The sequence below is a fragment of the Homo sapiens genome, chromosome 18, assembly GCF_000001405.40.
Source record: "Homo sapiens chromosome 18, GRCh38.p14 Primary Assembly".
In the NCBI taxonomy this organism is placed as follows: Eukaryota; Metazoa; Chordata; class Mammalia; order Primates; family Hominidae; genus Homo; species Homo sapiens.
In genome coordinates this window covers 36,497,596-36,509,604 of record NC_000018.10, presented here as the reverse complement: position 1 = coordinate 36,509,604, position 12,009 = coordinate 36,497,596, and the positions used below count along the sequence as shown (strand labels likewise).

The window sequence follows — 12,009 nt, the reverse complement described above, 5'->3', positions numbered from 1 at the left end:
ATCACATCATTTAATTCATAAACATTCCAATATGTATCTCTAAACTACAGGAACTCTTCTTAAAAATATGCACTCACAAAAAATTAGTACTTCTCATTATCAAATGTCTGGTCAGTGACCAAATTTCCAACTGTCTCATAAATACTGTTTTCTTTTTTTTTTCTTTTTTTTTTTTTTTGAGATGGAGTCTTGCTCTGTTGCCTAGGCTGGAATGCAGTGGCGCGATCTCAACTCACTGCAAGCTCCGCCTCCCGGGTTCACGCCATTCTCCTGACTCAGCCTCCCGAGTAGCTGGGACTACAGGCGCCCGCCACCATGCCCGGCTAATTTCTTTTTGCATAAATACTGTTTTTCACAGTTTTATTAGGATCCAAATAAGACTCATACATGGCAGTTAGTTGATATGACTCTTGAACATCTTTTAATTCAAAGAGTTTTTTTCTTTTCTGTTGGAATTTGTGTGTTGAAGAAACCGGGTCATTTGTCCTGTACAGTAGCCCACAGTCCAGATTTTGTTGGTTACACCCCTGTGGTGTAGTTTAACATGTACCTCTGTCTTGGATCATTTATAAATAGTTTATTGCATATAGAGGCATGTAGATCCAGAGGTGATTTTTTTGGCTTGACCGCATCATTGATGGTAGTTTGTATTTCCACTGGGAGGCATGTAATACCTAGCTGAATCTCATGCTCATCATGTCAGCAGCTCTTGGGGCTCACCACATAGATCCATTAAATCATTCATTAGAGGCTGATGGATGGTAATATTCTCATTCTGTTACTCCCTCTTGCTTATTAGGTAGAATATTTCTACAAACAAGACTTCCCTTCAACTATTTGATCATCCTAAAGTTCATAAGTGACAAGGCAAAATAAATGTGAGATACTGAAACTTAATTCATCTGCAAAATAGTAAGCTAGTTTGCTAGCATCTTTCACCTGTTTTTTTTTTTTTTTTGTCAATCCATTGTTATTTTGTAGTGTCACTATGAATTCATCAATACAAACTTAGTTTGTGTGTTTTGATCCAGTGCAATTATCACCCTTACTGATGCTCACTGTTCCATCTTTGGCCAGCCAGTGGGAGACCCTTCAACTTGCTTCTGAGTTCTTTTGGAAATAATCCTAGACTATTCAATAGCTTTCTTGCTCTCTGTATAAGATGTTCCAAGTTAATTAGTTTATTTTATTACGTTTCCTACTCCAGACTTGGAATCAGCCACTTCTCCAAGGAGCTCTGGTGCCTTTTGGTGTTTCAGACCACAATCTCGTTGCTAGTGGTGCTTTTTGCTAATGAATTGATTATTGCTTCTAGCTTTTTTTAAAAAAAAAAAAGCTTATTTGCTTAAGATAATATACATGGGTTCATTCTGATATTTCCAATTAAATTCAGGAACACAGAGTTGTTAAACTTAAGAATCCTAATTTTTAAGAATGCTTAGAATGACAATTAGAATCTCTCGCACACACACCAGTCTCAGAATAGTAATACCAACACTATCACCACCAATATGATTATTGTAAACAGTTTTGTTGTGGTTGTGGAGTTTTTGGTGGTTCTTTTTGTTCTTAGGGTATATTTTACTAACACTGCACAAATTACAGTGTTTTTAAGTCACTTGGAATAGCTATTAGCTGTGTAGCTCTGCCACCAGCTCTCAATCAGGTGTGAGAGAAGTTAAAGCTGAAGAATGGAGACAATAGGCAGGCTGATAGACTAAATGAGGAAGGGGGAGGAGTGGTGTGAGCATGGCCTTCTGCTGGCATAAGAAGAGTCTAGCCCAACTGCAGTTGGGGATCTGAGTCCAAGAAGAGGACATAATGGAGGGTGAAGAAGTTTGTTGTGTTCAGCTTAGTATCAGGAAGACACACGTGGATACTCTGAAGTGGAGCTTTGGGAAAATTAATTAGTTAGCACAATATTTACCAAATTAGAGACAGGAAAGACTGAAGACAGAGACATCTTCTAGAAGACAATTCAAGTTACCCAGTCCATTCATTTATAGTTTAAGTAGTACCAGATACTATGCTAGGCACGAAAGGCCTGGCGATGAACCCCAGTGAGCTCACAGACTACCGTACTCAAGACAAGTGCTCTGAAGTATCTTAAGTTCTATACAGTTTGAGTATCCCTTATCCAAAATGTCTGGGACCAGCAGTGTTTCAGATTGTTTTTATATTTTGGAACATTTACATATACATAATGACATATCTCAAGGATGGAACCCAAGTCTGCACATGAGATTCATTTAGGTTTCGTATACACAATTTATATATAGCATGAAGGTAATTTTATACAATAGTTTAAATAATTTTGTGCTAGAAACAAAGTTTGTGTGAATACTGAACCATCAGAAAGCAAAGGTGTCACTATCTTAGCCACCCATGTGGGTGATCAGTGCTAGTTTGGCACCACCACCACTCCTGACTCTGAATTTATATGCTACAAATATGCAATCATTTTCCTACACCTATTCACAAATAAGTACTTAACAGGAAAAAAACATGACATGCCATTTATACAATGAAAAAGCATAACATGTTCCAGGTAACTAAGTACAGTGGCATCACCAGAATATCTGTCTCATCTGCTACAGTCTCCCCCTACAATGTTGTGTTTTGATTAAAAGGCTACTATACACTATATTTTATTTTGGGGGGAGAGAATAAACATCAAAAGTAGTTGAGGGTCCAGAAGCGAGTCCTCTAGGGATGAGGAGGCATTCTTCTGGATGGGCTTTTAATGTTTTCTCCACAATCATCTGCCTCATTAACAAGCGTTTTTGTCTTAGAAATCTTTGCTTTTATAAACTAATATGATTTCTTGTTCTGTTTTGAATGTGCACTGATCTACACTTCAATAAGCCCATCACATATTTTCGCCATGTCATCTCTAGGCACTTTTTCTACAGTGTTATCATCTTCATTATCACTTATATAAGATCACCTTGATTCAGAAACATTTTAGCTATTTCAATTTGCCATTGGTTCATGAATGAACAACTGGGGCCTCTTCACCAATGTTAAAAACTTCAATATCCACTTCTTCCAGCTCATTGATGGACTCTGAAGACAAACATGCAAACAATTTTTATATTTACAAGGAGGTCAGACATCATTTTCTTCTCACTTGACATACAGAATCCTTCAAAGTCACCACTTGTTCACCATCATCACTAAACATATTCAGAGGTTAGGGGTTGTGCCAGGCATGCACAGCTGTGTCTTTAGTCACTGTGTTTCCAGTGTTGGCAGTAGTATATCCTTCATGCTGAACATCCTTCATGCTAAACTGCTTTTGAAAACTTCACTGCTGCTAGCATGCTGTTCAAAAAAGTGTTTTTAACACTTATTCCTCATTGATCTAAGAATATCCTTTATTAATGGATCTAAGAATTGATTCCTCATTGATCTAAGGATATCCTAAATTAATGAAGTCACATTTGAGGGAAAGTACATGGCATAATCATTATTTTTTATGAGAATTTCAGCTGGAAGATCAGCAGAACAGTCGAGGAAAACAAAATCTTGCCATCATCATCTAGTCCAGCTTCTGTGAAGTAAGCATAAGTCCCCAGTACAAAATGTTTATGAAACTAATCAGAAAAGATGATATGGTGATCCATGGCTTTTTGTTAGCATAATAATGGAATGGTAAGAAATGCACTCTTTTAAAATAGTGAGGATGCATTTGCTTAGCACAGCAAAATTTCATTTATGTGTGCCTGCAGCATTAGCACAGCCCAGCATGGTTATTCTGTCCTTGGCACCCGTATTTCCCATAGGAGCTGTCTCATCAGCTCTAGTCAGTGTCTTTCTGGGGCTGTAACTACAAACAGTAATGTTTTTTCATCCACATTATAGACATGTTCTGGCATCAAATTTTCATCAGCAGTGACCTTGGCAAACTTGTCAATGAATTTCTCTACTGCTTTGTGGCCAGCAGAGCTTTATCACCACAAATCTTTAAAAATTTAATGTTGTGTCTTTTCTTAAATTTCTTCAATCACCCTGTTGAAAATATGCAGCTCCCTTCCATTTTCAGTTTATGATAGATCTTTGCTTGTTTAATGATCAGCATACCATTAAGTGGCATGTGTTCACTGCATCACTGATGGATCCACTCTATACACAATTGAGATCTTCATTTTTAGCTTCATGCAATGTTTTCCTATTTTTCAGTAACTTCTGCTCATTGCTTTCCACACAGAACTTCGACAGTTTATCCTTCTGTTTCTTCAGGTCATCTATGGTGATCATTCTAACACCATACCCTTTTGTAAGACAGTTCACACTTACGCCACTGCCCAGTTTCTCCAACAGCTTCATTCTGTGCTATAGGTATATATAAATGACTTCTCTTTTTTATCACTGTTACCCAAGGAGGTATCTGCATTCCTTTTGGACATTTTAACAATACCTTTATACCACAGAGCACAGAATAAGCAAACACACACAATGAGTAATGCATGTATCTCTTGGCCCATGTGGACATTGTGGGGAACCTCCCATTGGTGCATCCAGCCTGCACACATGCCATTTTATTGCCCTTTGTGGGCATGCTTGCATGGAGGGATCTGGGCATGTGTGGAAAATATATATCACAGCTGAAAACTGGCAGGAGGTTCTTTTTTCCTTGGGAATGCTAAATAAATCGTGTGTTGTGAGCCTGCACTTTGACTATGACCATCACATGAGATCGAGTGTGGAATTTTCTACTTGTGGCATCATGTCAGGACTCAAAATTTTTCAAATTCATTTCTAATGGATTTTCAAATTAGGGATGCTCAACTTGTACAACAGGTAAGCACAGGATACTTTTTATTTATTTATGTATTTATTTATTTATTTACTTTTATTATTATTACTATAAGTTTTAGGGTACATGTGCACAATGTGCAGGTTAGTTACATATGTATACATGTGCCATGCTGGTGTGCTGCACCCATTAACTCGTCATTTAGCATTAGGTATATCTCCTAATGCTATCCCCTCCCCCCTGCCCCCACCCCACAACAGTCCCCAGAGTGTGATGTTCCCTTTCCTGTGTCCATGTGTTCTCATTGTTCAATTCCCATCTATGAGTGAGAACATGCAGTGTTTGGTTTTTTGTCCTTGCGATAGTTTACTGAGAATGATGATTTCCAGTTTCATCCAGGTCCCTGCAAAGGACATGAGCTCATCATTTTTTATGGCTGCATAGTATTCCATGGTGTATATGAAGCACAGGATACTTTTAATGGTATTCGGAGGGACCCTAATTAGGGTGAGTGATCATTCTGAGAGGGCATCCCTAGCAGGAAGAGATACCAGAAGGAAAACTGAGATACATATAGAGTGGGTGTGGGGTAGCAAAACATTCTGGGATAGAAGTTGTAGGTCCAGGCCAGGCGTGGTAGATCACACCTATAATCCCAACACTTTGGGAGGCCTGGGTGGGTGAATCACCTGAGGTCAGGAGTTTGAGCCCAGCCTGGCCAATATGGTGAAACTCCATCTCTACTAAAAATATAAAAATTAGCCAAGCGTGGTGGTGGATGCCTGTAATCTCAATTAGGAGGCTGGGGCAGGAGAATCACTTGAACCTGGAAAGTGGAGGTTGCAATGAGCCAAGATCACACCACTTAACTCCAGCCTGGGTGACAGAGTGAGATTCCATCTCAATCAATCAATAAGTCGCAGGTCCAGGGCAAAGGTGTAGAACAGAAAGGGCATGCCTTACTTTTGGAGTACAACTTCAGGAGGAACTCAGGTTGTAGCCAAGGACAGAGAGGTGGGCAGCAGAGGCCAGATCAAGAAGGACTTCCATGTTATGCTGAGAAATCCAGACGTAACCCAGAAGGCAACATGGAACCAACAAGAGAGTAACTCCCTCTGGTGGGAAGCTAAGAATGGACTGAGTTAGGGAGGACCAAACACACACAGTGCCATGAATAGCTGCTGCAATTTTCCAGGCATGAACCAAGGCAGACCTCTAAACCCCAAGGCATTTCCGAGGTATGCAGTGTGGTGGAGCAAGGGTGCACCAGGTTCAAAACCATGGCTGTTGGAAGAAAAGAAAGAGGACTTGTCTGCAGAAATGTCAACACAGAGAAGGGACTCCGTGGTATGATTGAACACAGTGAAGTAAGAATGGGACAAGAATGTGTGGATGGGACAGATTTTGGGCCTTCCCTTTTGCCTATTCCCTCTCAAGCATGTAGAAATCTACTCTGGCTCTCACTGACAACTATCGCTGACAAAGATAATCTTTTAAGGATGTAGATGAGATGGGAACTGAAAAGAAGTAGAATGTAAACTAGAATCAAAAATCCTAACAGAAGAAAAATAATGAACCTAGACAGACGCAAGCTCAATGCAAAAACCATCTTCTCTATGAAACCATCTCCTGACCCTGCCTGCCCTCACATGGCTGATCATCTTGGGGCTTCTCTGCACACCTGTCCTAGTCCTCTTCATTATGTTGGTGACTTTCTCAGGGTAGGAATGGAGGGAAGGTTTAGGAGGCAACGATACTATGGAATCCAAGACAGATTTGCACAGGTACACAAGGGGGCATAGCCACAATAGCATGGTTTATAACAGCAAAACACTGGAAATTAACCATCTGCCAATAGAAGAATGAATAAAACAACTTGTGTTTTATTCATCCAATGCAATCTTCAATCAGAGCTACACCAGCTATGCCTACACCTATCCCATTCTCAGTAAGCAGAAGTAGGATATATATGCAACATGATCACATATGTATACAGTTCATACAAAAGAATATCACATATTGTTGGTGAATATTTACCATTAGGAAACATGCATGTGGGGGTAGGGTGGAAAGAGGTTGTTTGGGATGGGGGAGCATAACACAGGTCTTCAGTTATACCTCTAATAGGCTTTGCACATGTATGTTTATTGCAGCACTATTCACAATAGCAAAGACTTGGAACCAACCCAAATGCCCATCAATGGTAGACTGGATGAAGAAAATGTGGCACATATACCCCCATGGAACACTATGCAGCCATAAAAAAGAATGAGTTCATGTCCTTTGCAGGGACATGGATGAAGCTGGAAACCATCATTCTCAGAAAACACAGCAACAGAAAACCAAACACCACATGTTCTCACTCATAAGTGAGAGTTGAACAATGAGAACACATGGACAGAGGGAGGGGAACATCACACACCAGGGCCTGTCAGTGGGTAGGGGGCTAGGGAAGGGATAGCATTAGGAGAAATACCTAATGTAGATGATGGGTTGATGGGTGCAGCAAACCACCATGGCACATGTATGCCTGTGTAACAAACCTGCACATTTTGCACATGTGTCCCAGAACTTAAAGTATAATAATAGTTAAAAAAAAAAAAAACTAGAAGTAAATATGGAAAAATATGTGATAAAGTTACCTTTACTTTTTATTATGTTTGAAATATTTGACATGATAAAAATTCTCAACTGATATTATGACCTAATGTATATTGTAATCTAAATATAAATATTGTAATCTAAATTTGTCCTTCCTTTTCATAACAAGTACAGGTAGAAGCTTGCCTGTATCTAATTTCACAGCAATGTAAAAACAGGTAAGTACTTATTTTTTTCCTATTTACCTGAAATATCTGCTTCAGGGAGAAGAGGGCCCTTCTCAAATCTCGTCCGCTGGAGTTGTATAGTTTTTCTGAAATAAAGAATAAAACATATAAATTAATTAAACTGACTCTATTGACAGTGAAAACACAGACAGGATATGAATGATAACAAAACTATCCCTGGAAAGGTAATGAAAGCCTATTCATTTCATTCAGGATACAGACCTTACCCCCAACCATAAGAAGAATGTTGCATATACATATCTGGTGTGTGACAGGTGGCATGGAATAATGTGTAGATGGGACAGATTTGGGGCCTGCCCTTTTGCCTATTCCCTCTCAAACAGGTAGAAATCCACTCTGGCTATCACTGACAACTATCACCTAGATTTTTCACCCTCATCTCCCACCCTTCCTCTCTCCAGATCTCTATTTCCAGCTGTTTGCAGACCCTATTTTCCAGTTTATAAACTATTTCCACTTGATGGCCAACTATACCCAGAAAAACCCACGCAGCCAGAACAGAATCCATCCTTCTACCTCATGCCTCCCTTGCCTTACAGGCCCTGCACCCCCATGCTTTCTGCATCTCCTGTTCCTGGGGTGTGCTGGCTGCCTTGAGCGCTCCTCAGGCCCTAGGGTTCCCTAGGCAGCATGGGAGACCCAAGGGCAGCATGGCAGCTCTACGGACTAGCTGGCTCCTTCTAGTCACATGAGGGCCTCTGGGCAGGAAGCCAGCCTTAGCTCTGCCTGGGCCTGTTTTCTCACTCATGTTCAAGGATGGTTCTGGCCATGGGCAAGGCAGATGAAAGATCCCACTCTTGGAATTCTCTGGCTGAAGACTTGGGCTGACTTCCATAAGCCCACTGTTGAGCAGTCACATTTCAAATATATGAGTTAGACCAGGCCTCAGGAAGAAGGAGGTGAGCTTAATACAGGGCCCATCCTCCAGAGATCACCATGCAGCTAGAGAGACAGATGAGTATGCCACAATTACTAGCTGGCCAGAGTGATGGTGCTGCGAGGTGCTGAAGACACACCGGAGGGAGTCCTGTTCTGGTTATGCAGGACACCAAGGAGCACACATCCCGCTTAGCCTCCCAGCACCCACACTTGGTCCTGATCCAGGTGGCTCAGGTGTGCATAGGGTTGCATTCCTAGCACCCGATGCCAGACTTTTCCAATAGAATCACCCAACGCATGTTTACTGAGAACCTGCTGGGTACAGTTCGAGGCACTAGGATACCACAGTGAAGAATGGAATTATCAGGAGCAAAGGCTAAGTAATCAGACTGCCTGCATTCCAAACCTGGTATCACCATTTACTAGCTATGTGACCTTGAACAAAACACTTTACATCTCTAAGCCTTGGATTCTCCATCTGTAAAATGGGAACAGACAGTATTACAGGAAAATGGGTTCTGTGTTAAATTAAGCATGTGTACTATGGAGTGGAATGCAAAATATCATTTAAAGTGTTTAGATATAATAAAGGCATTCAAAACAATGTCACGTCATTGGCCAACCACCTCGGGCTTCAATTCTAGCCTAAAGGGATACAGGGCAGAGCCACATTCCCCCCTTGTGCAAGTGGCATGGAACAAATGGCCCCAGAAGAGTTTGCAGAAGTCTAGTGACAGAAAGGATATGCTGGTTTTTCACAGTGGCCCAGGAAATGGATAGGCCCCCACTGAGAGAGATTTAACAGGACACAGATAGGTAAAGCTCAGTATTTGCTTGGCAGTCATTTCTTCAAAGGTCTCCCTACCAGACATATTGCCTTCCGGCAAAGAACAGAGGGCTCCTGTGGAAACTCCCACTAGATGACATCACTTCCCCATTTAAACCCTTCAGTGGCTGCCCACCGCAGCCAGAATGAAATCCAAAATCCTTTGCACGGTCTGCCAAGCCCTTGGTCACACAGCCCCCTCCCTTGCTGTATTACAGACACTGTGGTTTTCTCTCACATCCTGGGGCAGTGCAGGCTCCTCCAAACTCACAACTTAATACATATTGCTGCTAAGTGGCAGGGGCAAGATACTGTAGGGTGGGGGTCTGGGGAGTGGTATGTGACTCCAAAGATTCCCTGTTGTTTGACCACTATGGAATCTACCACCTCTAAATACAATATGCAGCCCACAAACACTTGCTAATTATGAAGAGTTGTGATTAAGAGAAAAATGCATCACCTTTCTAAAAAGTAGGAGCCTAGAAAGCTCCAGAGGAATCAACCATCCCCAATCTGAACATCTAATTCATCTCTGACCCGAAGAAACAAGGCCCTGGTGACTCTCAGGCTGACCTCTAAAGAGTCTGTGTGGCCTCAACATATGAGTAATAAATAGTGGGTTTCCTACTGCATCACGCCTGGAGTAGAACCCTGGTCTCTGGGGTGATCACACTTCTTCCAGCTTTCACAGCTAACATCTGAGAATCCCCAAATCCCAGAGAAAAAGACTTTGTTTTTTGCTAATACTACTTCTAATAAATAAGAATAAAACTATCAAGTGAAAGCATGGGCCATGTATACCCCCAAAGAAGTGGACCAGATTTATCCTATCCAGGAAGAACATCAGTAGAAAAGAGCCAATTCCAGGTAACTCTTAAGTCAATAGGCTGCTGGGCACCGTGGCTCAGGCCTGTAATCCCAGCACTTTGGGAGGCCGAGGCAGGCGGATCACTTGAGGTCAGGAGTTCAAGACCAGTCTGGTCAACATGGTGAAAGCCCGTCTCTATTAAAAATACAAAAATTTGCCAGGCATGGTGGCACATGCCTGTAATCCCAGCTACTTGGGAAGCTGAGACAGAAGAATCTCGTGAACCTGGGAGGTGGGGATTGCAGTGAGCTGAGATCATGTCACCGCACTCCAGCCTAGGTGATAGGGCAAGAACCTGTCTCAAACAAAACAAAACAAAACAAAACAAAACAAAACAAAACAAAACAAAAATAGCAATAGGCTTGCATTAGACCTTCTTACTTGTTAGCAGATGATAAGCAGAAATATGCCATAAGTAGACTCAAAATATCACAGTTAAAGTCTCCTTTAGTTACTAGTGACATATTATTGTTTCTGATTCATCTAAATGAAGATCATCATTAGTTGTGTTCTGATCATTAAGGTTTTACTACTTGGTGCTGTAGTCAAAATAATCAGTTTTTAAAATACAAATTAAATATTAGAAAAAAATCAGCTGAGAATGACTGCTAATATTTTGTTGAAAATTTCTGCATCTATAATCATAAGAAATACTGGTTTATAGTTTCTTTTCTTGCAATGGTGTTAATATTGAGACAATGCGAATTTTGTGAGTTGGGGGTACTCCTTCCCCTTCTGCTTTCAGAAGGGATTTGTATAGACTTTGTGTTATTTATTCAATTTCTTCATTAATGTAGGGCTATTCTGATTATCTCTTTGTTCTTCAATGAAGTTTGTTCATTTGTGTCTTTCAAGGAATTTGTCCATTTAAGTTGTTAAATGTATGGGCATAAAGCTGTTCATATTCTCTGTCATCCTTTTATTAACTGTAGCAATGTCCTTTTATACCTGGTATTGGTAATTTGTGTCTTCTATTTTACTTGGTCAGTGACTAGAAATCTATCAATTTTATTTTAGCCTTTTTCAAGAATCAGCTATTGATTTCATTAGAGGTTTTTTCCTACTGCTTTTCTGATTTCTATTTCATTATTTCCTTTCGTTTGCTTTAAGTTTAGTTTGCTCTTCTAGTTTCTTCAGGTAGAAATTTAAATGATTTGAGACCCGTCTTGTTTCTAATAGAAGTATTTAATGCTATAAGTTCATCTCTAAGTACTGCTTCAACTGCTTCCTGTAAATTTTGATATATTGTTTTCATTTTCATTTATTTGAAAATTTTATTAATATTGAATTCAGAGGGGAATAACTTAACCTTGTGATTTTTTTGACCCATGGTTTATTAAGGTGTATTGTTTAATTTCCAAATATTTAGAGATTTTCCAGATATCTGTTACTAATTTCTAATTTAATTTCTTTGTGGTCAGAACATATACTTTATCAAATCTTTTAGACTTATTAAGGCTTATTTTATGGCCCGGAATATGGCTTATCCTGGTGAATGTCTCATGTACACTTTAAAAGAACATGTATTCTGCTGTTATTGAGTGGCTGTTCTATAAATATCCACTATATCAAATTGAGTAATAGTGGTGTCCACATCTTCTATATTCTTACTGACTTTCCATTTACTTGTTCTATAGATTAGTGTGAAAGGAGAGTTGAAGTCTCCAACTATTACAGTGGATTTGTGTATTTCTTCTTTCATCTTTATGAGTTCCTGCTTTAGGTGCTTTGAAGTTCTGTTGGTAGGTGTGCTTACATTTGGGATTGTTGTGGCTTCTTGGTGTATTGAACTTTTATTGCTATGTAATACCTCTCTTCATCCCTGTCA

The 12,009-nt window shown here is 40.1% G+C and overlaps 1 protein-coding gene across 45 annotated transcripts in view, besides 1 other annotated feature; it reads right to left on the bottom strand.

The window, feature by feature from the left end:
* FHOD3 (formin homology 2 domain containing 3) overlaps nt 1–12,009 on the bottom strand; it is a 482,508-nt gene that overhangs the window by 270,616 nt on the left and 199,883 nt on the right. For all 45 annotated transcript variants that reach the window (XM_011526189.2, XM_011526190.3, XM_017026008.2 and 42 more), the window contains one exon: nt 7,606–7,673. In XM_011526189.2, coding sequence (XP_011524491.1) covers nt 7,606–7,673 — 68 coding nt within the window. The remainder of the gene's footprint in view (nt 1–7,605; nt 7,674–12,009) is intronic.
* Nucleotides 9,355–9,404: an enhancer, noted in NCBI's record as "active region_13238". NCBI's record gives its function as "activates an Ori minimal core promoter by ATAC-STARR-seq in GM12878 lymphoblastoid cells {active_cell/tissue: GM12878}" and the evidence as "EXISTENCE:reporter gene assay evidence [ECO:0000049][PMID:35858748]".